Consider the following 23,890-nt stretch of genomic DNA (forward strand, 5'->3'; position numbering starts at 1 on the left):
CACATTTTTTATGCTCTTTGGTTTTAGGCCACTGAGATAGAAAAGTTCAGACATTATTTTGTTTCAGGAGGAACTGGAGGCAATGATGACAAAAGCTGACAATGATAATAGAGATCACAAAGAAAAGCTGGAGAGGTTGACTCGACTACTAGACCTCAAGAATAACCGTATCAAGCAGCTGGAAGGTATTTTAAGAAGCCATGACCTTCCAACATCTGGCAAGTCTTAGTCCTTTGTTCTCCTCACTTCGGGACCCTTCCACAGCTAACGCCTGTGTTCCACTCTGTGTACTTGTCAAGAAGGGTGCCTCTCATACCCTTAGCATATGACTTATCCTTCTTGTTCTTTATCCTATCATTTTTGTTGTTTTTTTTTGCTTGTTTGCTTTTGAGATGGAGTCTTGCTCTGTCACTCAGGCTGGAGTGCAGTGGTGCGATCTTGGCTCACTGCAACCTCTGCCTTCCAGGTTCAAGCGATTCTCCTGCCTCAGCCTCCCAAGTAGCTGGGATGACAGTTGTCCACCACCATGCCTGGCTAATTTTTTGTATTTTTAGTAGAGATGGGGTTTCACCATGTTGGCCAGGTTGGTCTGGAACTTCTGACCTCAGGTGATCCACCTGCCTCAGCCTCCCAAAGTGATGGGATTACAGGTGCGAGCCACTGCGCCCGGCCCATCTTTGTTGTTTTAATACATGTTAGCAGCTTCTTTCCCTCCATCATGTTTTTCTGATTTCTCTGTAGAGTTTCAAGTGGGCCCAGCAATTGCTTCCAGGGGCTTAATTCTGTTGTGAGAATGAGTATCACTGTTGGCTCTCAGGGTGGTGGTGTAACACACAATCTCTCTCTCTCTCTCTCATTCTTTCTCTCTTGCTCCTCTCCCCTGTCCCTCTCTCCTAGTCACTGTTTCCTCAAAGCAGTTTTAGTCGGATAATAGAACTTCATCACTCATCTCCTGTTATTCTTGTCAGTGATTTCTCTCTTAAAAGCTCTAAAATCTTTGTTGCAATTTGAGGATGCTGACAGTGACAGGGCAGCTGGCTGGACACTGAATGCAAGTTTCATATTGTGGTGCCTCCTATACTTAGTGTAGTCACTGCTGACCAGAGCCTGGTCTCAGGCTTGTTTGTCAAGACACTTGGCTTTGTTATTATACCCAGTGGTGAAAGATCTGACTCACGAAAACCAAATTAACCAGAAGCTGATATTTAAACCCAAATGTTTGTTATTTTACAATAGTGGCTATTCCACTGCTTCCATGAGGAACTTGGAACCACAGTTCAGGGCAGCCCTCTTTCGGGAAGCAAAATCAGTAAGTAGGTTTCTTAGTGAGCATGGAATAGAATAAAGGGACATGGCTGGGCACGGTGGCTCACACCTGTAATCCCAGCACTTTGGGAGGACGAGGCGGGCGGATTGCCTGAGGTCAGGAGTTCGAGACCAGCCTGACCAACATGGTGAAACCCCATCGCTACTAAAAATAGAACAATTAGCTGGGCATGGTGGCGGGCACCTGTAACCCCAGATACTTAGGAGGCTGAGACAGGAGAATCGCTTGAACCCGGGAGGCAAAGTTGCAGTGAGCCGAGACCAGGCCATTGCATTCCAGCCTAGGCAACAAGAGCGAAACTCTGTCTCAAAAAGAAAAAAAAAAAAGAATAAAAGCACATAAGTGTCTCTGGGCCGTGATTTATCCATGTCAGCGTGAGTCTGATAAAAGATCACTGCTTCTACCTACGTCTGAAGATTTATTTGCTTTAGCTAATAGTTCTTTGATCACTGGTAAGACTAAAGAGTTTTTCTATGTTCACCAGTTATTTGTATTATTCCTTTTGAGAATTGACCGTTCCTATCCTTTGCCTACTTCTTAACAGTATCCTATTGATTTATAGAAATTCTTTTTATGCTGAGATTATTACTCCTGCATCATGTAATGCAAAATTTTAAGTATATTATATTTAATTATATTAATCTTGTTAATTAAGAAAGTAGTCTCCTTATTCGTGTGTGTGTGTGTGTGTCATGAAGACATTCCGATGTGTCCAGAATATTTTATTCTACTGCTTTAACTCTTAAAATAGGACCTTCGGCAGCAGCACACTGTGTTGACTCAAATATTCCCCAATTTGAAGCAGGCTATATATCAAAGTTTCTGATTGGTTGGACTTGGGAGATAATACCCAGATTTGCTAGACTGTCTACCTATCTTTGCGTCCCACTGCCAATATTTCCTACCTCTTTCCAGTAAGTCTCTTTTCCCACTTTTTACTCCATTACTCTTTAACTTATAATGTACTTTTTGCCTTCTTATGTTGAAACCAAATTCTGAACAGAATGAAAGATCTCCTGACTGACCTGGCTAGAGAAGGAGAAGCATTTCTTGGTGGGACTCAATGTAATGTCATAGACACTATGTCTGCAACTTGCTATTATCTCCACGGCCAATATACCAAACTTGTAGAAATATTCATGTTTTTGTGTTTCTAGTACTTCTCTTATGGAATTACCAGTTAATCATAGGGCCACGATGTACACCAAAACAATGTCATATATAAGATAAAATGTGCCCCCAGTGTTTTCCTAAGTTTAGCATCTACTTTCCAGTCACTCCTTTTGTACCTTCTCCCTAAAGCTGGCATTGGATTATTTGGCTATCGGAATTCAATGCTCCTGGTTGTCCTTCTGTTGCTTTTCCTTTTGAATCACGTGGTTTCTTGAAATAATCACAACTTGGACTTCCACCATGTGTTTTATATTTCTTTTGTCCACCCTCCTCTACCCTAAGAAAGAGCTCCCTACCCTTTAACGGATAGGCAGCTTTCTTTCCCCTCTAGAACAGCTCAAAGATGTTGCTTATGGCACCCGACCGTTGTCGTTATGTTTGGAAACACTGCCAGCCCATGGAGATGAGGATAAAGTGGATATTTCTCTGCTGCATCAGGGTGAGAATCTTTTTGAACTGCACATCCACCAGGCCTTCCTGACATCTGCCGCCCTAGCTCAGGCTGGAGATACCCAACCTACCACTTTCTGCACCTATTCCTTCTATGACTTTGAAACCCACTGTACCCCATTATCTGTGGGGCCACAGCCCCTCTATGACTTCACCTCCCAGTATGTGATGGAGACAGATTCGCTTTTCTTACACTACCTTCAAGAGGCTTCAGCCCGGCTTGACATACACCAGGCCATGGCCAGTGAACACAGCACTCTTGCTGCAGGATGGATTTGCTTTGACAGGGTGCTAGAGACTGTGGAGAAAGTCCATGGCTTGGCCACACTGATTGGTAAGTGCCGTTGGCTTCCTGCGGCTCCTAAGCACCAATGCAGAATTTCCCAAAGCCTACAGTTGCTTTTCTGGTGGTTTCTTATTTTCTTCCTTTGTCTTGTTCTTGATCCTTGCCACACCATCTGTATTCCCCCTGCTTTCACACTTTCTGCTACCCAGGAGCTGGTGGAGAAGAGTTCGGGGTTCTAGAGTACTGGATGAGGCTGCGTTTCCCCATAAAACCCAGCCTACAGGCGTGCAATAAACGAAAGAAAGCCCAGGTCTACCTGTCAACCGATGTGCTTGGAGGCCGGAAGGCCCAGGAAGAGGAGGTGAGAAAAAAGATGTGCCGAGGCATCTCAGAGGAGCCTCAGCCAAACAGCTCATGAGCACAGTTCAGTCTTCCACTCTCAATAAGTGTTTGTTGAATGTGAATGAAAGAGAAAACTGTCACACCACAACTAGTCTGGATTATTCCCTTGGTCAGGCTTGAGTCTGAAATGAAAGTATGCCTTTGGAGCGAGCTACATCCTTCATCCTTGCTGTGAACAGAATAGCTTCTCTGTGCCATTCTCTAAGTTAAGTCGTGAGTGCCAGTATCTCCCTGAAATAACTGCCAGAGCCAGTTTGCAGGCAGGTGAAGATCATTAGGTTTCTTCCTGATCCAGTTGGGATAGCTGTTCTCTAGATCATAGCTCTTCCTCACCACAGATCCTAGGCTTCACCTACAACAGTCTCAAGCTGCCCTTTTCCTCAATCCATGACCAACATCTTTCCAGTTCAGATCGGAGTCTTGGGAACCTCAGAACGAGCTGTGGATTGAAATCACCAAGTGCTGTGGCCTCCGGAGTCGATGGCTGGGAACTCAACCCAGTCCATATGCTGTGTACCGCTTCTTCACCTTTTCTGACCATGACACTGCCATCATTCCAGCCAGTAACAACCCCTACTTTAGAGACCAGGCTCGATTCCCAGTGCTTGTGACCTCTGACCTGGACCATTATCTGAGACGGGAGGCCTTGTCTATACATGTTTTTGATGATGAAGACTTAGAGCCTGGCTCGTATCTTGGCCGAGCCCGAGTGCCTTTACTGCCTCTTGCAAAAAATGAATCTATCAAAGGTGGGAGTTCGAGGTTATTACATCTTCACGCCCTCTTCCCAGTGTTGTCTCCCTGTCCTGATTCTACTTTTCTTTGATTACTTGCTTGAAACAGTCTCTCTTAAAACCTGAAGATAAAGGATTTAGAATATTGTCAAGAGCAACAGAGCAGAAGACTTAGAGCCTCACTACTTGTGTGGAAACACTGGCTTCTTCTGCTTCTTTTCAGCCACAAAGACAACATTCCTAAGTGGGTAGAGCCAGCAACCTGAATTCTATACCTCTGTATCTGAATAAACTTCTTTGTTTTTTGAGATGGAGTTTCGCTCTTGTTGCCCAGGCTAGTAGCTGGGATTACAGACATGCGCCACCACACCCGGCTAATTTTTGTATTTTTAGTAGAGATGGGATTTCTCCATGTTGGTCAGGCTGGTCTTCAACTCCCGACCTCAGGTGAACCTCCCACCTGAGCCTCCCAAAGTGCTGGGATTACAGACGTGAGCCACCGCGCCTGGCTGAACAAACTTTTTCAAGCTCTGTAATGCTGTCTAGTATCTGTCTTTACTAAAGGCCTGTTGTTTCTTAGTGCATGACTACATAGATATCTGATTATAAACTGAGACCTTAACACTCCCCCATCATTCTCTCACTTCTTTTAAACACTGGACACAAGTTAGAGAGATTTCCACACCAGATCATGACAAACACAAATTTCTTGGATTTTTTTTTTCCTCCCAATGTGGAGCTGAGCTCCATACTGTCTTTCCTAACTTTTATACCTAGGATTGTGGGGGTGTACCAAGAGGGGTCAACTCTTTGACTACAGTCCTGGGAGGGTGAGGTGGGGGTATCCATGTTTTCCTTAGGAAGTGGGGATAGCTGCAGTCAGAAACAACCATATTTAACAAGATTCTGGATGCTCCAGGACATGTATGCAGCTCTCTCCTCAATACAACTGCTTAAAAAAAGGCTGACACTTCTGGACACAACTCCTTTGCCAAACAGGGGAGGCAGTATAAGCCACCTGTTAATCAGTGTTACAAATCAGACATCTGGCATTTCGAAAGAGCCATTTTGCTTAAGTTTTCTTGGGACCACTTGAGGGTAGAGGTAACAGTTTTCTTGGTACAACTAAGGCACAGTAAGCATTTGATAATAGTAATAATAATGCAGCCTTGTTCATTGGCTGGATGACTGATGACAAGCAAGCTGTACTCCTTTTCATACACCCTTCACTATCTCTTCCTGAATCCTAGAGATAACCCATCTTCCCTGATTAATATTCTAACTGCACTGCTGTTTGATTTTACTTCTGAGTGTATCATCATCGTAATTATTTAATGGATGTTAATTAATTGCTGATAAAATATGTTGAAATTAAAAATGGGAAGGAAGTAGATAAGGTGCTGACAAATGCTCACTTGCTTATTTCATGTGATCAGGTCTTATTAATATCTGTTTGTTTCTCAGGTGATTTTAACCTCACTGACCCTGCAGAGAAACCCAACGGATCTATTCAAGTGCAACTGGATTGGAAGTTTCCCTACATACCCCCTGAGAGCTTCCTGAAACCAGAAGCTCAGACTAAGGGGAAGGATACCAAGGACAGTTCAAAGATCTCATCTGAAGAGGAAAAGGCTTCATTTCCTTCCCAGGTAACTCTCCAGGACTCCACAGGTAGCAGATCTCTGCCAATCCTATGGAGCAGATTTGAAGGAGACAGTATTATAGTTGAAGTAGGTGCAGTGGCTCACGCCTGTAATCCCAGCACTTTGGGAGGCCATGGCAGGCGAATTACCTGAGGTCAGGAGTTCAAGACCAGCCTGACCAACATGGGGAAACCCTGCCTCTACTAAAAATACAAAAAATTAGCTGGGCGTGGTGGCACATGCCTGTAATCCCAGCTACTGGGAGGCTGAGGCAGGAGAATCACTTGAACCTAGGAGGTGGAGGTTGCGGCGAGCCGAGATCACGCCATTGCACTCTGGCCTGGGCAACAAGAGCAGAACTCTGTCTCAAAAAAAAAAAGAAAAAGAAATTCCCTCTGTGAGTGTCATGTGTCCTGTGAACTTAATATATATCCCTCATAATGCCATGAGACTACTGATGGAGCGAAAGCCTGGGTTTTACTGCGGAAAAGAGAGAGAAATAGCATTTCTCAGCTCCATGAGGAGAGAAATGAAGTCTAACACTAGTTCCCAAATCCCTTTCTTGTGTTTCTAGGTTGTTAAACTACCAGCTTGTAATGCTATCTCTGATCTTTCTATTCAGGATCAGATGGCATCTCCTGAGGTTCCCATTGAAGCTGGCCAGTATCGATCTAAGAGAAAACCTCCTCATGGGGGAGAAAGAAAGGAGAAGGAGCACCAGGTTGTGAGCTACTCAAGAAGAAAACATGGCAAAAGAATAGGTGTTCAAGGAAAGAATAGAATGGAGTATCTTAGCCTTAACATCTTAAATGGAAATACACCAGAGGTAAGACCTTAAAAACTCTGAAGCACTAAATTGTGGGTTGTAGTGTCCCCAGATGTATTATTCTCAGAGGTAGAAGCAGAAGCAGAAGCAGACACACAAGATAAGCACTAATCGGCCGGGCATGGTGGCTTCGGCCTGTAATCCCAGCACTTTGGGCAGTTGAGGTGGGCAGATCACCTCAGGTCAGCCTGGCCAACACGGTGAACTCCTATCTCTGCTAAAAATACAAAATGAGGCCTGGTGCAGTGGCTCACGCCTGTAATCCCAACACTTTGGGAGGCCGAGGTGGGTGGATCACCTGAGGTCAGGAGTTCGAGACCAGCTTGACCAACATGGTGAAACCCTGTCTCTACTAAAAATACAAAAATTAGCCAGGCATGGTGGTGTGTGCCTGTAATCCCAGTTACTCGGGAGGCTGAGGAAGGAGAATCACCTGAAGCTGGGAGGTGGAGGTTGTGGTGAGCTAAGATCGCGCCATTGCACTCCAGCCTGAGCAACAAGTGAGAAACTCCATCTCACCAAAAAAAAAAAAAAAAAATTAGCCAGGCATGGTGGTATGTGCCTGTAATCCCAGCTACTCAGTCGGGAGGCTGAGGTAGGAGAATCGCTTGAACCCAGGAGGCGGAGGTTGCAGTGAGCTGAGATCGTGCCACTGCATTCCAGCCTGGGCGACAGAGCAAGACTCCATCTCAAAAAAATAAAAATAAGATAAGCCATAATCATAGCTAATTGTGGCTAGCTTGTGTTTCCACAAACACAAGTAGTTTAACAAACCCCTGGACTGTTCATTTCAATGTAATTTAATTCAGCATATTATGTACTCTACAGTTTATGCTTAAAGTTTTAATACTATATATATTTTTAAACAAGTACTCACTTTTTTTTTTTTTTTGAGACCGAGTCTTGCTCTGTCGCCCAGGCCAGAGTGCAATGGCATGACCTCGGCTCACTGCAACCTCCGCCTCCCAGGTTCAAGCAATTCTGCTGCCTCAGCCTCCCAAGTAGCTGGGATTACAGGCACGTGCCACCACACCCAGCTAATTTTTGTATTTTTAGTAGAGACGAGGTTTCACCATGTTGATCAGGCTGGTCTCCTGACCTCAGGTGATCCGCCTGCCTCAGCCTCCCAAAGTGCTGAGATTATAGGCGTGAGCCACCATGCCCGGCCAACGAGTACTAACTTTTAAAAATTAAAAAGAGCCAGTATTGTCTGGGCATGGTGACTCACGCCTATAATCCTAGCACTTTGGGAGGCTGAGGCATGCGGATCACATGAGGTCAGGAGTTCGAGACCAGCCTGGCCAACATGGTGAAACCCCATCTCTACTAAAAATAGAAAAATTAGTCAGGTGTGGTGACGGGCTCCTGTAATCCCAGCTACTCAGGAGGCTGAGGCAGGAGAATTGCTTGAACCCAGGAGGCGAAGGTTGCAGTGAGCCGAGATGGTGCCACTGCACTCTGGCCTGAGTGACAGAGGGAGACTCTGTCTCAAAAAAATAATAATAATAAAAATTAAAAAAATAAAAAGAGCTAATATTTAAAAAGAAGGCAGGAAGGAAGGAATGAAGAAAGAAAACCAAGATATTACCAGCTATGTAGTATTGTTGTTCTTATTCTGAAGCAGGTGAATTACACTGAGTGGAAGTTCTCAGAGACTAACAGCTTCATAGGTGATGGCTTTAAAAATCAGCACGAGGAAGAGGAAATGACATTATCCCATTCAGCACTGAAACAGAAGGAACCTCTACATCCTGTAAATGGTATTGTCTTTTAAAATCTATTTTTTTTCCTAGCACTTTGGGAGGCCGAGGTGGGCAGATCACGAGATCAGGCTTTCAAGAGCAGCCTGGCCAACATGATGAAACCCGTCTCTACTAAAAATACAAAAATTAGCCGGGTATGGTGGCAGGCGCCTGTAATCCCAGCTACGTGGGCGGCGGAGGCAGGAGAATTGCTTGAACCCAGGAGGAGGAGGTTGCAGTGAGCCGAGATTGCACCACTGCACTCCTCCAGCCTGGGCGACAGAGCGAGACTCCATCTCAAAAAAAAGAAAAAAATATATATTTTTTCTGTTTAATCATTTAATTGTTTTGCCAAGCTAGTTATTTACTTTTCTCCTTCACCTTAGAATGCTAAAGTTTTCATGGAAAATTAGTATGTAAGACCTGAGGCCCAGTTTTGTGTTACAAGTGTGATGGTTGGGTTAACCAAGGCTGGAATTCTTAAATAAGTAACTTTCTCAGTGTTTATAAAATGTTATTTTGCCCCAGGATTTTTTTGTTTTGTTTTGTTTTGTTTTTGAGATGGAGTCTCATTCTGTCTCCCAGGCTGGAGTGCAATGGCAGGATCTCAGCTCACTGCAAGCTCTGCCTCCTGGGTTCAAGCAATTCTCCTGCCTCAGCCTCCCGAGTAGCTGGGATTACAGGTATGTGCCACCATCCCCGGCTAATTTTGTATTTTTAGTAGAGACAGGTTTTCTCCATGTTGGTCAGGCTGGTCTCAAACTTCTGACCTTAGGTGATCCGCCCACCTCAGCCTCCCAAAGTGCTGGGATTACAGGCGTGAGCCACTGCACCCGACCTAGTTTTGATTTTCTCATTAAAACTGTTTGTTGGCTGGTTGTGGTGGCTCATACCTGTAATCCCAGCACTTTGGGAGGCATGGGCGGGTAGATCACCTGAGGTCGGGAGTTTGAGACCAGCCTGACCAACATGATGAAACCCCATCTACTAAAAATACAAAAAATTAGCTGGGCATGGTGGCATCTGCCTGTAGTCCCAGCTACTGGGGAGGCTGAGGCAGGAGAATTGCTTAAACCCAGGAGGCAGAGGTTGCAGTGAGCTGAGATTATACCACTGCACTCCAGCCTGGGCAACAGAGCAAGACTCCGTCTCAGTACAAAAAACAAAAAACAGGACAGTGTTTGTCTTGATTATTGAGTTTTTGGCACCCCTTCAAATTTTATGCCTAAGGTCAGTGCCTCACATGCCTTCCTCTACTTCTGACAGTGGTCAGAATAGTGGTTACTGCTAGGAGAAGGGGAAGAGGGTTATCAGGAAAGGACACCCTTTGGGCATCTGGAGTGCTACCAGTGTTCTATTTCTTGGCTGAACGGTGATAGAGATGTTCATTTTACAACAATTTAATAAGTTGAACATTTATATTTCATGGGCTTTTCTATGTGCTTGAAAAATTTAATAATGAGAGGAAAAATATAAAGGTAGATATGGAAATATTATGAAAAGAGAGTCTTTACTACTTAAAAAAGCTTTTTTTCTAAATCTCTAGAAGCATTTTATATATATATAATTTTTTTTTTTTTTTTTTTTGAGATGAAGTCTCTCTCTGTCACCCAGGCTGGAGTGCAGTGGCACAATCTCGGCTCACTGCAATCTCTGCCTCCCAGGTTCAAGCGATTCTCCTGCCTCAGCCTCCAGAGTAGCTGGGACTACAGGTGTGCCCCACTATGCCCGGCTAATATTTGTATTTTTAGTAGAGACTGGATTTCATCATGTTGTCCAGGCTGGTCTCGAACTCTTGACCTCAAGTGATCCACCTGCCTCAGCCTCCCAAAGTGCTGGGATTACAGGTGTGAGCCACCACGCTTGGCCTAAAAGTATAATTTTTAAGCTTTTGAATGTATTTGGCATAACTTCTTAAATGGGAAGAGCATAAATGATTTTTCTCATGAGAAGGATAATTTTTCTATTGATTATGTAATCTGATTTCTCCGTCAAAGTTTACTCAATGTAAGGAAGGTTAACAAGAATAACCAAGCCCAAAATTTCCCAGAGCCAAATTTACATGACTGGCAAGAAATCCTGGTTATAAGAGAACAATTCCATTCTTATGATTTGCAGACAATGGAATATTATTTAGTCATAAAATAGTAGAATAAATAGTAACAGTGTATCTAGATAGCTTCAGTGTATCCAGACCTGAATGCGGGGTTCCAGTTATCTCCATACTCCCAATTTACATTTCTTCAGGTATTTGATTGAGTATAATCTATATCCACTAGCTTTTTCTCCTTGTAGAATGTGAAATATGGGACCAGAAGGTAATCTAAACCTCATGTACTATATGGTCATCTATTTATAGTCATAAATAATAAAAGAAGACTATTTCTGTGGAAGCCTAATTGTTAGTTATTGTTTTAATATCGCTGTTCTCCATGAATTTCAAAAGATCAAGACTGGCCAGGCGCAGTGGCTTACACCTGTACTCCCAGCAGTTTGGGAGGCAGAGGCAGGCAGATCACCTGTCAGGAGCTTGAGACTAGCCTGGCCAACATGGTAAAACCCCGCCTCTACTAAAAATGCAAAAATTAGCCAGGTGTGGTGGTGGGTGCTGGTAACCCCATCTGAGAAGCTGAGGCAGGAGAATCGCTTGAACCTGGGAGGCAGAAGTTGCAGTGAGCTGAGACCATGCCATTGCACTCCAGCCTGGGCAACAAGAGCAATGCTTCATTTCAAAACAAAAACAAAACAAAAACCTCAAAAGCACCAGTTAGTACTCGCAAGAAGCTAAAATCTGCCTGGTTTCAGATGTCTGAGTGGAGCTATCAAGCAGGATGCTGTAGTTGTTGAAAAAGAAGCTTATTAATCTTTTAGACAAAGATCTAAGGGTATTAGGTAAAGGCCATCAAGAAATGAAAAGGGCCTGATTTTAAGGCCATTTCCACATATGTAGACAAAGCCTTGTGTCTTTTAGCAGCCTTTGCTTTTGCTGCCCGCTCAGACCTTTTCCCTTTGAGACCTCAGTGAAACAGACAACCCAAGACTTTGAAATTTTACAGAAGAGGCACAGCTTGCCATCCAGTTATCTAATGCTATGTAACAATCTACTCCAAAACTTAATGACTTAAAACAATTGTCATTTCTTTGGCTCACTACTCGGCATGTTAGGCAGGTCTCATGAAGAAGGCTCATTTCTCCTCTCTCAATGTGGCATTAGATGGGGTAGCTCAGCTAGGGGGCTGATGGGTTCATCTTGCAAGATAGCTCACCCTACTAGCTGATCAGGTGGTCCTGGCTGTCAGTGGTTGCTTGGGCTTCCTCACAGGTTGGTAGCTGAGTTCCAAGACAGCAAGGTACAAGTCCATGGCATTTTTGTGTTCTGGCCTTAGAAGTCACATAGCATCACTCCTACCGTACTCTTTCAGTTGAGACAGTCCAAAAGATCCACCTTAATTGAAGGGGAGGGGACAAAGACCCCACCACTCAATAGGAGCAGCGTCAAGGTCAGTCGCATTGTAAGGAGAGCAGCTGAGATAGGAGAGACCATTTGAGGCCACCTTTTTTTTTTTTTTTTTTTGAGACAGAGTCTCTTGTCGCCCAGGCTGGAGTGCAGTGGCTCGATCTTGGCTCACTGAAACCTCTGCCTCCCGGATTCAAGCAACTCTCCTGCCTCAGCCTCCCGAGTGGCTGGGACCACAGGAGTGTGCCACCAAGCCAGGCTAATTTTGCATTTTTAGTAGAGACGGGGCTTCACCATGTTGGCCAGGCTGGTCTAAAACTCCTGACCTCAGGTGATCCACCTGCCTCGAACTCCAAAAGTGCTGGGATTACAGGTGTGAGCCACCACGCCCAGCCAGAGAGGCCATCTTTGGAAAATACAATCTGCCCCACCCAATTGCACAGCTTTACCTCAAGCTTGGCCATTTTCTTCAGCCCCCACAAAAGGACTTCCTTTCTTCCTTCCTTACTCTCACCCTTCCTTCCTGTCTTCCTTCCTTTCTTCCTTTCTGTTTTTCCTTCTTTCCCTTTCTTTTTTTGAGAAGTGAATCCTGTATGTTTGGCAAGCTTCTGAATAAGTGTACCTTTGAAAAAGAGGGTTTGATTCTTAGTAAGTGAAGGCAAAATCTAGACACTCGGAACTAGTGACCAGACAGTGGATTGGAGATGTGTGTGCTGGGTCTTTTCTTGGGCTAAAGTGCTTTGAAACAGTTCTATAACTGCAACCTCTTCTCTAGCAGACAAAGAATCCTCTGAACAAGGTTCTGAAGTCAGTGAAGCACAAACTACCGACAGTGATGATGTCATAGTGCCACCCATGTCTCAGAAATATCCTAAGGCAGTAAGTACACTGGAGTAATCATTGCATACGAGATAAGACGATAAATAATGACAGTGGCCAGTCATGGGGGCTCACGCCTGTAATCCCAGCACCTTGGGAGGCCGAGGCAGGCAGATCACCTAAGGTCGGGAGTTCGAGACCAGCCTGACCAACATGGAGAAACCCCATCTCTACTAAAAATACAAAAAAAATTAGCCAGGCATGGTGGAGCGTCCTTGTAATCCCAGCTACTCAGGAGGCTGAGGCAGGAGAATTGCTTGAACCCGGGAGGCAGAGGTTGCAGTGAGCCAAGATCACGCCATTGCACTCCGGCCTGGGCAACAAGAGCAAAACTCTGTCTCAAAAAAAAAAAAAAAAAAAAAAAAAGCAATAATGACAGTGTGCTTAGTGGCCACACAAGTGAAGGGCAATCCAGTTTTAATGAAGCTGATGGAAAATGCAAATTGTTTAGTTAAATTTATGTTTCGTGTGAATGAAGGTCGGCTGGTACAGTCAGATAAAAGGATCATTTTCTTGAGATAGTGTAAATGATGACTTGCTTCAATACTTCTGTCCTATCTGGATCCTTTGCCTCTTACTCCCATATCCTCCATTGTGTCCTGTAATTCATGCCCAGCCTGAATGGTACCCCTGCCTTTAAGTCCATCTAAGGAAAACGGGTTTGCTTTGGGAGATGGAGTCTGGAAGAGAGGACAGGATTCTTCATGGGAGGGCTCATGGAGATCATTCCATTTCTGCTGTTTTTTACTCAACCTGTAATTATCTATTAAACAGTTCAGCCTCAAAGCTCTTTCAGAACTGATTTAAGAGACACGCATCAAAAAAATATAAAAAAGAAAAAAAAGCCGGTTGCGGTGGCTCACGCCTGTAATCCCAGCGCTTTGGGAGGCCGAGACGGGTGGATCACGAGGTCAGGAGATCGAGACCATCCTGGCTAACACGGTGAAACCCCGTCTCTACTAAAAATACAAAAAAATTAGCCGGGCGTGGTGGCTGGCACCTGTAGTCCCAGCTACTCGGGAGGCTGAGGCAGGAGAATGGCGTGAACCCAGGAGGCAGAGCTTGCACTCCAGCCTGGGCGACAGAGCGAGACTACGTCTCAAAAAAAAGAGACACACATATATTAATAAATATCCACACATATATTCAGTAATCATTGTGTTCTAACCTTGTGGGTTACACATGAGGTAGAAAACAATTACTCTTAAGTCGCTGCTGCCTGACACATTTGTAGGTCCTCAATATTTGTTGAGTGAGTGACTGAATAATAGATTCAGAGTGAATTGATGATTATGAACTTCATTAGAAACATTAAATAAGAATGTAGGATGACCTAAAACCAAGGAGGTAGATTGTGTAATATAAAGTCTGTTGTAAGAAATCAGAAAAGGGAATTTATGGTTTCTTTTGTAGAGGTTGGAAAACTCTTCCTTGAAAGCTGGAACATGTGCTTGAGAACTGCAGGAAAATGAAGGATATTGGAGTGAGGAGAAAAAACTCAAAGTCAGTAGACTTAAACACTGAATATAACACATAGTTCAATTTCAGCTGAGGTGTGGTGGCTCACACTTGTAATCCCAGCACTTTGGGAAACTGAGGCAGGCAGATTGCTTGAGGCCAGGAATCAAGACCAGCCTGAGCAACACAGCAAGACAACTGTCTCTACATAAAATTTAAAAACTAGCTAGGCGTGTTGGCTCACATCTGAAGTCCTAAGTATTTGGGAGGCTGAGGTGAGAGGATTGCTTGAGCCTGAGAGTTTGAGGCTGCAGTGAGCCATGATCTTGCCACTGCACTCTAGCTTAGGTGACAGAGAGAGACCCTGTCTCAAAAACAACAGCAACGACAAAACCAGTTAAGTTTCTCTTTGTCTGAACTTTTATCTATCATATCTTTTTTTAGATATTATGTAGTTATCTGACAAGTGTTTGTAAGACAGACTGGAGCCACAGAATGTTGGAATTAGATAACACTTCTATATTACCAAGGTAAAGAAGATTAAATGATGTGTACAGGATTATTGAGTTAGTGAAAGAGCTGAAACTCCAGTTGAGGTTTTTAAACTGCGCAACCTCTCAAGTAACCAAAAAAAGCAGCCAGCTGATCAGCAAACTCATCTTGAACTGTAACAAGCCAGCCAGATTTCATTAAAAACATTACCTAAATTAAAGGCTCCTAAGTAAGATATCCTTTTAGAAAACTTCCTTGTGTGCCCCAAAGTGTTACTTGAGAAATTAAATATGAGAAAGGAGCCTATCTAAGCAAAAAATTAGTGTTATTATCAAGTTAAACGTACAACACAGGCACATATATATTAAATTATTGTTATATTCCAAAATGTCCAGGCATGAAAGGTAGAGGGGGTTGAAAGCTCAGAGTCAAAACTTGAGTTCTGTCACTCTTCTGCCTGGGGTCAGCTGGGATAAATGGAAATGCAGTAGAGTGTAATGTTTAAGAGCATGGAGATTTGGTTGAGACAGTGATTTAGATCCCAGCTCTGCTACTTAACTAGATATACAGCTTTGAGAGAGTTTTTTAACCTCTATTAGGCCTTGTCTCCTTATCTGTAAAATGGTAGTATTAAGTATACCCATCTGATACTGATGTGGCAAGATTAAAATAAGGGTTTAATACAGTGCCCGAGACAAATTAAGCCCTAAATGATAGTGAGGATGAGTGTGATGATAATAGTAGTCTCATTTCTCTGACCTACTGGAGTTCTCAATGTTAAGCTTTTTTTTTTTTTTTTTGAGATAGAGTCTTGTTCTGTTGCCCAGGCTGGAGTGCGTGCAGTGGCGCAATCTCGGCTTACTGCAACCTCTGCCTCCCAGGTTCAAGAGATTCTCCTGCCACAGGCTCCCGAGTAGCTGGGACCACAGGTGTGTGTCACCACGACCAGCTAATTTTTGTATTTTTAGTAGAGACGGAGTTTCACTATGTTGGCCAGGCTGGTCTCAAACTCCTGACCTCAGGTGATCCACCCACCTCGGCCTCCCAAAGTGCTGGAATTTACAGGTATGAGCCACTGCGCCCGGCCTAGGTTAAGCATTTTTTTTTTTTTTTTTTTTTTTTTAGAGTCTCGCTCTGTCACCCAGGCTGGAGTGCAGTGGCACCATCTTGGCTAACTGCAACCTCCGCCTCCCGGGTTCAAGCGACTCTCCTGCCTCAGCTTCCCAAGTAGCTGGGACTACAGACACACGCTGTCACGTCCAGCTAATTTTTTTGTTTTGAGACCTAGTCTTGCTCTGTCACCCAGGCTAGAGTGCAGTGGTGCGATATCGGCTCACTGCAACCTCCGCCCCCCAGGTTCAAGCAATTCTCCTGTCTCACCCTCCCGAGTAGCTGGGACTACAGGCGCACGCCACCATGCCTGGCTAATTTTTTGTATTTTTAGTAGAGATGGGGTTTCACCGTGTTAGCCAGGATGGTCTCAATCTCCTGACCTCGTGATCTGCCCGCCTCGGCCTCCCAAAGTGCCGGGATTACAGGCGTGAGCCACCGCTCCTGGCCTCCCTCTTCTTAACAGTTACTAATGAGGAGGGAGCAATCATTTTCATTTGCTCTATGGTCCCAGATTACTGTTTCTTTAGCAATAGTGAATATCGAGAACCTCAAAATTTTTTCTCTTATCGTGTCAATTTCAGGTGTCAGGAATTTCCTGACCCTTATGTATGCCAGGTAGTAAGTTTTGGCAGCCCTGCCCCCCAGCCAAATTAGGTGGCACATCTGAGCTAATAAGCCAAAGGGTGTTATCTGGCACTAATCCTTGCAGGGTTTCTGCCAGCAAGTTCAAATGAGTTGATATATATTTCAATGGTTAATATTACTAATTGCATACTTTCTTTGCTGTTCAGCCCCAATAAAATTACATAATGGAATTAGCTCATGTAAAGAAAGTATTCTGAATCCAACAAAAAATATTAGATTGAACCATATATTGTCATACTCATAGATAAAAAATGGTTGACAATTGTCAGTTCTGTATAGTCCAACCTAATATGAATGAATAAAACATCTGTGTGTACTTGGATCAAATTTTAATCTTATTCATCCTCCCATTTCACCATTGTTACCAGAATAAACTTGATGTAGTCTGCATGAATATGGACTTCTGATTATTGTCCCAGGATTATTAGCAAGTTTAAAAAATTTGCTGGGTGTGGTGGCTCACGCCTGTAATCCCAGCACTTTGGGAGGTCGAGGCGGGCGGATCACCTGAGGTCAGGAGTTCGAGACAAGCCTGGCCAACATGGTGAAACCCTGTCTACAAAAATACAAAAATTAGCCGGGCGTGATGACGGGTGCCTGTAATCCCAGCTACTCAGGAGGTTGAGGCAGGAGAATCGCTTGAGCCCAGGAGGTGGAGGTTGCAGTGAGCCAAGATTGCACCACTGCACTCCAGCCTGGGCGACAGAGCAAGACTCTATCTCAAAAAATTGTTTTGTTTTGTTTTTTTAACTAGGCAGGTGTGGTGGCTCACGCCTGTAATTCTAGCACTTTGGGAGGCCGAGGTGGGCTGATCATGAGGTCAGGAGATCGAGTCCATCCTGGCCAACATGGTGAAACCCCGTCTCTACTAAAAATACAAAAATTAGCTGGGCGTGGTGGCGCGTGCTTGTAATCCTGGCTACTCGAAAGGCGGAGAAAGGAGAATGGTTTGAACCAAGGAGTCGGAGGTTGCAGTGAGCCGAGATGGTTCCCCTGCACTCCAGCCTGGTGACAGAGCGAAACTCGGTCTCAAAAAGAAAAAAAAGAAAAATAATTTTAGATGTACAGGAAGGTGCTATGTAATGTTTATTTAGTTTTACTCTTTTTTCTTCTTTTTTGGTAATGTTATGAAACATGTATTTTTCAATCAATAATGTTTTGGGGTTCTATCCATGTCGATATATTTAGCTTTTTATAGTTCCTTCGTCTTAACTGCTGATCGATATTGCATTAAAATAATACATGACCTTTCGTTTAGACAGAACTCTAATGGGTAATGATTGAGATTTCATACTGTGTGCCAAGTGCTTGATATTCATGACTCTCTCGGGCTTCACAGCAGCCTTATGAGTTATTCTTTCCTTCAAGTAATTATGAAGTGCCTGTTTTAGTAACTGCCGGGCTCTGTGGGCACAAAATGGTGGATAAGACAGACTTGGTCTCTTCTCTCTTGAATCTTACATACTACTGAGGGAAAATATGTACATCAGTGAGCAAATAAGTAAAGCAGATAGCTCTGAGATTCTAAGTACTATGAAGGAAATAAATAGGGCGATATAATAGCAATGCGAGGAGTTGAACTAGGATAGGTGTTGAGGAAAGATTTCTCTGAGGAGGGGACGTTTGAACTGAAATCTGAAGAACGAGAAGGGAAGAGCTACCCATGTACTGGGTAGACTGTACTCATCTCAGGCAAAGGAATTGGTAAGTGTAAAGGCCCTGAGGTAGGAAAGAGTTTGATTTACCTGAGGAGTGGGAAATCAAAAGAAAATTAAAGTTTCTCTTGCACACATGTATATTATTATTCCCCCACCCCCTTTCAAAGGAGGACAGTGAAGTCTAGGGAGAAGAGCTTGCTCAAGGGAATATTTAATACAGTTTTACTGAGTGTATACTGTGTGCCAGACATTATGCCAGGCATTGTGCCAGGCACTAGATACTCGGTAGAGACTTTAATGGGGCCGGGCGCAATGGCTCACGCCTGTAGTCCCAACACTTTGGGAGGCCGAGGTGGGTGGATCACTTGAGGCCAGGAGTTCGAGACCAGCCTGGGCAACATGGTGAAACCCCGTCTCTACTGAAAATATAAAAATTAGTCGGGCATGGTGGCACATGCCTGTAGTCCCAGCTACTCAGGAGGCTGGGGCAGGAGAATCGCTTGAACCTGGGAGTCAGAGGTTGCAGTGAGCCGACGTCGCACCGTTGCACTCCAGCCTGGGCAACAGTGCTAGACTCCATCTCTAAATAAATAAATACAGATTCCCAGGAGCCACTCTAGACAGTCTGATATAACACAGAGGCTTTTATACATTTTTTATAGCAATCACTATGAGAAATACATTTCTGCAGTATCCAATACTCTTATAAAAGAACAAGTTTCAAGAAACCAGGCTTACTATTAACATTTGCCATGCATTCTCCTATTCCACTAGATAGTGTCTTATCCTGTCTATCCTATCCTATTGTTTCTTTTTTAAAAAGCTAGTGAAACCCGCTAATCTGACCCATCAAAGTGTCAAAAAAAAACCAGATTTTTCAAAACACTGTATAGTCAATAGTTTTCTTGATGTTTGGGAGAGTTGGATGTTATGGGAGGGTTATTAAGAGAAAAACATCAAATATCGTTTTTTTGTTTGTTTGTTTGTTTTTTGAGACCCAGTCTCACTCTGTTGCCCAGGCTGGAGTGCAGTGGCACTGCAACCTCCACCTCCTAGGTTCAAGTGATTCTCATGTCAGCCTCCCGAGTAGCTGGGATTACAGGCATGAGCCACCATGCCTGGCTAATTTTTGTATTTTTAATAGAGATGCGGTTTCACCATGTTGGCCAGGCTGGTTTTGAACTCCTGACCTCAGGTCAACTGCCCGCCTCGGCCTCCCAAAATGCTGGTATTACAGGTGTGAGCCTCTGCACCCCGCCAAATATCTTCATTTTTAAGAAGCACCCCAGATGATTCTGATGCAGAATCATTGAGAGATCTTGCCTGCTGAATTTCTTAGGGGCAGGCACAGGAGCTCCACTTGCTTTCTAAGAGAAGAAAAGATGGGGTAAGAGCCGGTCTTTGGAGAAGTAAGGGCATTGGCCTGGCCAGCTAGTGAAAAGAAGCATACAGGAGGGCACTCACAGATAGAGGGGAGAGCGCTATGGCTGGTAGGGAACCATCCTGGATTGACTCATTACTGGTGTCACGATACTGACTTGCCTGCCACACTGTGGAAGGAGGAGACTTCTGTTGGCCTTGGTGTACTTCTGGAAACTTCCTCCTGGTATCCCTGATGCCAACATGGACACAGGGACAATTAAAAGAAAGGACAGGGTGATGGCAGCGACTGTGAAGTGGGATTGAAAATATTGGAGTTCCTGGCCAGGCGCGGCGGCTCACGACTGTAATCCCAGCACTTTGGGAGGCCGAGGCGGGTGGATCACGAGGTCAGGAGATCGAGACCATCCTGGCTAACTAAACCCCGTCTCTACTAAAAATACAAAAAATTAGCCGGGTGTGGTGGCGGGTGCCTGTAGTCCCAGCTACTCGGGAGGCTGAGGCAGGAGAATGGCGGGAACCCGGGAAGAAGAGCTTGCTGTGAGCCGAGATCGTGCCACTGCACTCCAGCCTGGGCGACAGAGGGAGACACTGTCTCAAAAAAAAAAAAAAAGACTGGAGTTCCTGTGGGAGGGCAGGGTGGTCTGGTGGCCTCCTCAGTGGCATGCACTTGAGTGGGCATGGGAAGCCCTGGGCAGCTCTTTGCTATAGTGGCTGAAGCAGCTACTGAATCTCCAGTATCAGTCAGGAGGTCTTTTAGGTCCTAACCTCAGGAAAATACTAGCTTGGTTTTCATGAAGAACACTGTGGCCAGTTGCAGTGGTTCATGCCTCTCATCTCAGCCACTTTGGGAGGCTGAGGTGGACAGATTGCTTGAGTCCAGGAGTTCTAGACCATCGTGGGCAACATAGCAAGACCATATCTCTATTAAAAAAATAAAAATAATTGTCCCTATGTGGTGGTGTACCTGTGGTCCTAGCTACTTGGGTGACTAAGGTGGGAAGACTGCTTGAGATCAGGATGTCAAAGCTGCAGTGAACCATGATCACACAACTGCCCTCCAGCCTGGGCAACAAAGCAAGACTCTGTCTCAAAAAAAAAAAAAAAAGTTGAGAAATAGCTGTTTAGAAATTTATTTATTTGTATATAATCATCGGGTACAAGCACAGTTTTGCTGCATTTATATATTCCACTGTGGTGAAGCCTGGAGCGACGCACATTGTTCCCACCAAGCAACCTCCCATCATCCACCCTCCCCGCCGCTCCGAATCAGACATTTTTTTTTATTCTTTCTATATGTGGAGATGACTGAGAAAGGCTGTCCTGGAGAAATGATCCACTGGACTGTGAGAGAGAAGAGCTGGGTTCTCTTTATAAATTTCCTATCAATTAACTATGGCAATTAAGTCAAGTTGTCTTTTGATGCCAGTTTTACCTATAAAAGGATTCTCAGGGAATAATATAGTAGATAGATTATACCTATGGTTGATTTCTAGAGAGTACCGTAATGGGTTAATTGGATGGCGTATAAGCACTTGGAGCCTCACTAACCTTTAGGAACTAAATAAACATTTTCCTTATCAGGATTCAGAGAAGATGTGCATTGAAATTGTCTCCCTGGCCTTCTACCCAGAGGCAGAAGTGATGTCTGATGAGAACATAAAACAGGTGTATGTGGAGTACAAATTCTACGACCTACCCTTGTCGGAGACAGAGACTCCAGTGTCCCTAAGGAAGCCTAGGGCAGGAGAAGAAATCCACTTTCACTTTAGCAAGGGTGAGGCATCCTGTGTGGTTACTGGGGTGAGGAAGTCTGATGAACATTGAGACTGAGGGTCAGAATTACTCTGGATTTTTGTGGGGTGAATCCAGCCATTTCACTTTATTATTTTATTGTTCAAAGTGTTGTGTGCATGTGGTTTAAAAACATCGAATGGGGCTAAACATTTTACATGAAGCAGGCCTTTGTCCCAGCTCTTCACAGATCACTTCGCCTGTTCCCACCCTTCCTCAATCCACGGCTTCCCACATTTCAGCTATATTTATTTTTACTTTTTGAGGTGGAGTCTCGCTCTGTTGCCCAGGCTAGAATGCAGTGGTGTGATCTTGGCTCACTGCCACCTCTGACTCCGAGATTCAAGCGATTCACGTGACTCAGCCTCCCAAGTAGCTGGGATTGCAGGTGTGCGCCACCGTGCCTGGCTAGTTTTTTGTGTTTTTAGTAGAGGCGGGGTTTCACCATTTTGGCCAGGCTGGTCTCAAACTCCTGACCTCAAGTGATCTGCCTGCCTTGGCCTCCCAAAGTGCTGGGATTATAGGCGTGAGCCACCAAGCCCATCCTATCTCAGCCATTTCTTCTGTTATTTACTTCCATCATATTTCTGAGTATTGATTTTTGTTCTTCCTCTTTTCCTGTTTTTTTTTTTTTTTTTTTTTTTTTTTTTTTTTTTTTTTTTGAGATGGAGTCTGAACATGTTGCTCAGGCTGGTTTCAAACTCCTGGACTCAAATGATTCTCCTGCCTCAGCCTCCTGAGTAGCTGGAATTACAGGCGTGAGCCACCATACCTGGCTTCTGAGTAACATTTCTATTGCAATCTCCTGATTCACCGGCTTTAGACTTCCTATCTCGGACCTTAAAAGTTAGCTCTTTTGCACTACACTCATGTCCCTTTCCTTCCCATCGTAATTGTATCATAATTTTTATTTAAATCCATTTAAATTGGTTCTGTTATTATGGATATGTAAATATTAATTCTTGCAGAACCAAGTAGTATGCAATGATTATATTTCTTTACACGTATTTTTTGCAGCAATTTTTCATTCGCCTTATTTTCATTATACATATTGTAATTATTTTCGTGTCCTTCAACAGTCTTCCCAAATTTTGAAATAATCAAACCTGTCAAATTATCTACTCATCTATTTTTTTCCTGAAGACCTCTCTCCATCCTCTTGTTCTGCTCTAGCCCACTGTTTCATTATTACTGCTGCTCATGGAGAATACGATCAAATTCTCTCCTATACCAGATTTCTTATCTCCTGGTTATCCTCTAATTTATTTTCTTATTTTAATGGATCATATTTTCAGTAGTTTTTAAAGAAAGGGCATATCACAAGTGAAAATTTGAGAAAGTCGTGCATGAAATCTTTTTTTCCTACCCTCATATTTGATTCAAGTGTGGAAATCTTTTTCATTCAGAATTTCGAAGGAGCCTGGGTGCAGTGGCTCATGCCTGTAATCCCAGCACTTTGGGAAGCCAAGGCGGGCAGATTACTTGAGGTCAGAAGTTGGAGACCAGCCTGGCCAACGTGGCAAAACCCTGTCTCTACTAAAAATACAAAAATTAGCCGGGCATGGTGGGGTGCACCTGTAATCCCAACTACTCGGGAGGCTGAGGCAGGAGAATCGCTTGAACTTGGGAGATGGAGACTGCGGTGAACCAAGATCACGCCACTGCACTCTAGCCTGACACAGTAAGAATCTGTCACACACACACACACACAAATGATTTTCAAAGCAGTTGGTCCATGTTATTCTAGATCCAGGCAAGGAGTCTAATCTTTTTATGAAAACTACCATGAATACCACTAATGAAAGTCTTGGGGCTCACACTGCAACAGTATATGATTCTTTGCTTTTTTCTCTTACCCTTAATACAGTAATAGACCTGGACCCACAGGAGCAGCAAGGCCGAAGGCGGTTTCTGTTCGACATGCTGAATGGACAAGATCCTGATCAAGGACAGTAAGCATCTGCTTTCCACTTTGAAACAAAGGAGATATTGAGACAGAAATTCAAAAGTTTGAGTTTGGTTTTGTGCTGATGCTGAATATTTTAATAACTTTTTTGAGTTAATTTACTCTTAATGAATTTCCTATGTACTTGAGTATAATTTATATTTGTGACTACCTAATCCATTACCTAATCTTATAGGTTATTTATTTATTTATTTATTTATTTATTTTCGAGACAGGGTCTCACTCTGTCGTCCAGGCTAGAGTGCAGTGGTGCGATCTTGGCTCACTGCAACCTCCACCTCCCCAGGCTCAAGGGATTCTTGTGCCTCTGCCTCCCAAGTAGCTAGGGTTATAGGCATGTGCCACCATGCCTGGCTAATTTTTTGTGTTTGTAGTAGAGATAGGGTTTTGCCGTGTTGCTCATGTCTGGTCTTGAACTCCTGCGCTCAAGCGATCTGCCCTCCTCGGCCTCCCAGAGTGCTGGGA

At 44.0% G+C, this 23,890-nt stretch overlaps 1 protein-coding gene across 18 annotated transcripts in view; it reads left to right on the forward strand.

Annotated features, from left to right (window-relative positions):
• Positions 1-23,890, forward strand: part of RPGRIP1 (RPGR interacting protein 1) — a 71,219-nt gene that overhangs the window by 41,704 nt on the left and 5,625 nt on the right. For 2 of the 18 annotated variants that reach the window (NM_020366.4, NM_001377948.1), the window contains 10 exons: positions 68-218; positions 2,832-3,284; positions 3,446-3,597; positions 4,045-4,387; positions 5,837-6,021; positions 6,638-6,841; positions 8,463-8,601; positions 12,819-12,919; positions 21,250-21,442; positions 23,327-23,411. In NM_020366.4, coding sequence (NP_065099.3) covers positions 68-218; positions 2,832-3,284; positions 3,446-3,597; positions 4,045-4,387; positions 5,837-6,021; positions 6,638-6,841; positions 8,463-8,601; positions 12,819-12,919; positions 21,250-21,442; positions 23,327-23,411 — 2,006 coding nt within the window. Of the gene's footprint in view, positions 1-67; positions 219-2,831; positions 3,285-3,445; positions 3,598-4,044; positions 4,388-5,836; positions 6,022-6,637; positions 6,842-8,462; positions 8,602-12,815; positions 12,920-21,249; positions 21,443-23,326; positions 23,412-23,890 lie in introns of all 18 variants that reach the window. The other 16 variants (XM_005267879.2, XM_005267881.3, XM_047431609.1 and 13 more) reach the window with 14 other exon arrangements.

This window comes from Homo sapiens, chromosome 14 (genome assembly GCF_000001405.40).
Source record: "Homo sapiens chromosome 14, GRCh38.p14 Primary Assembly".
Classification (NCBI taxonomy): domain Eukaryota; kingdom Metazoa; phylum Chordata; class Mammalia; order Primates; family Hominidae; genus Homo; species Homo sapiens.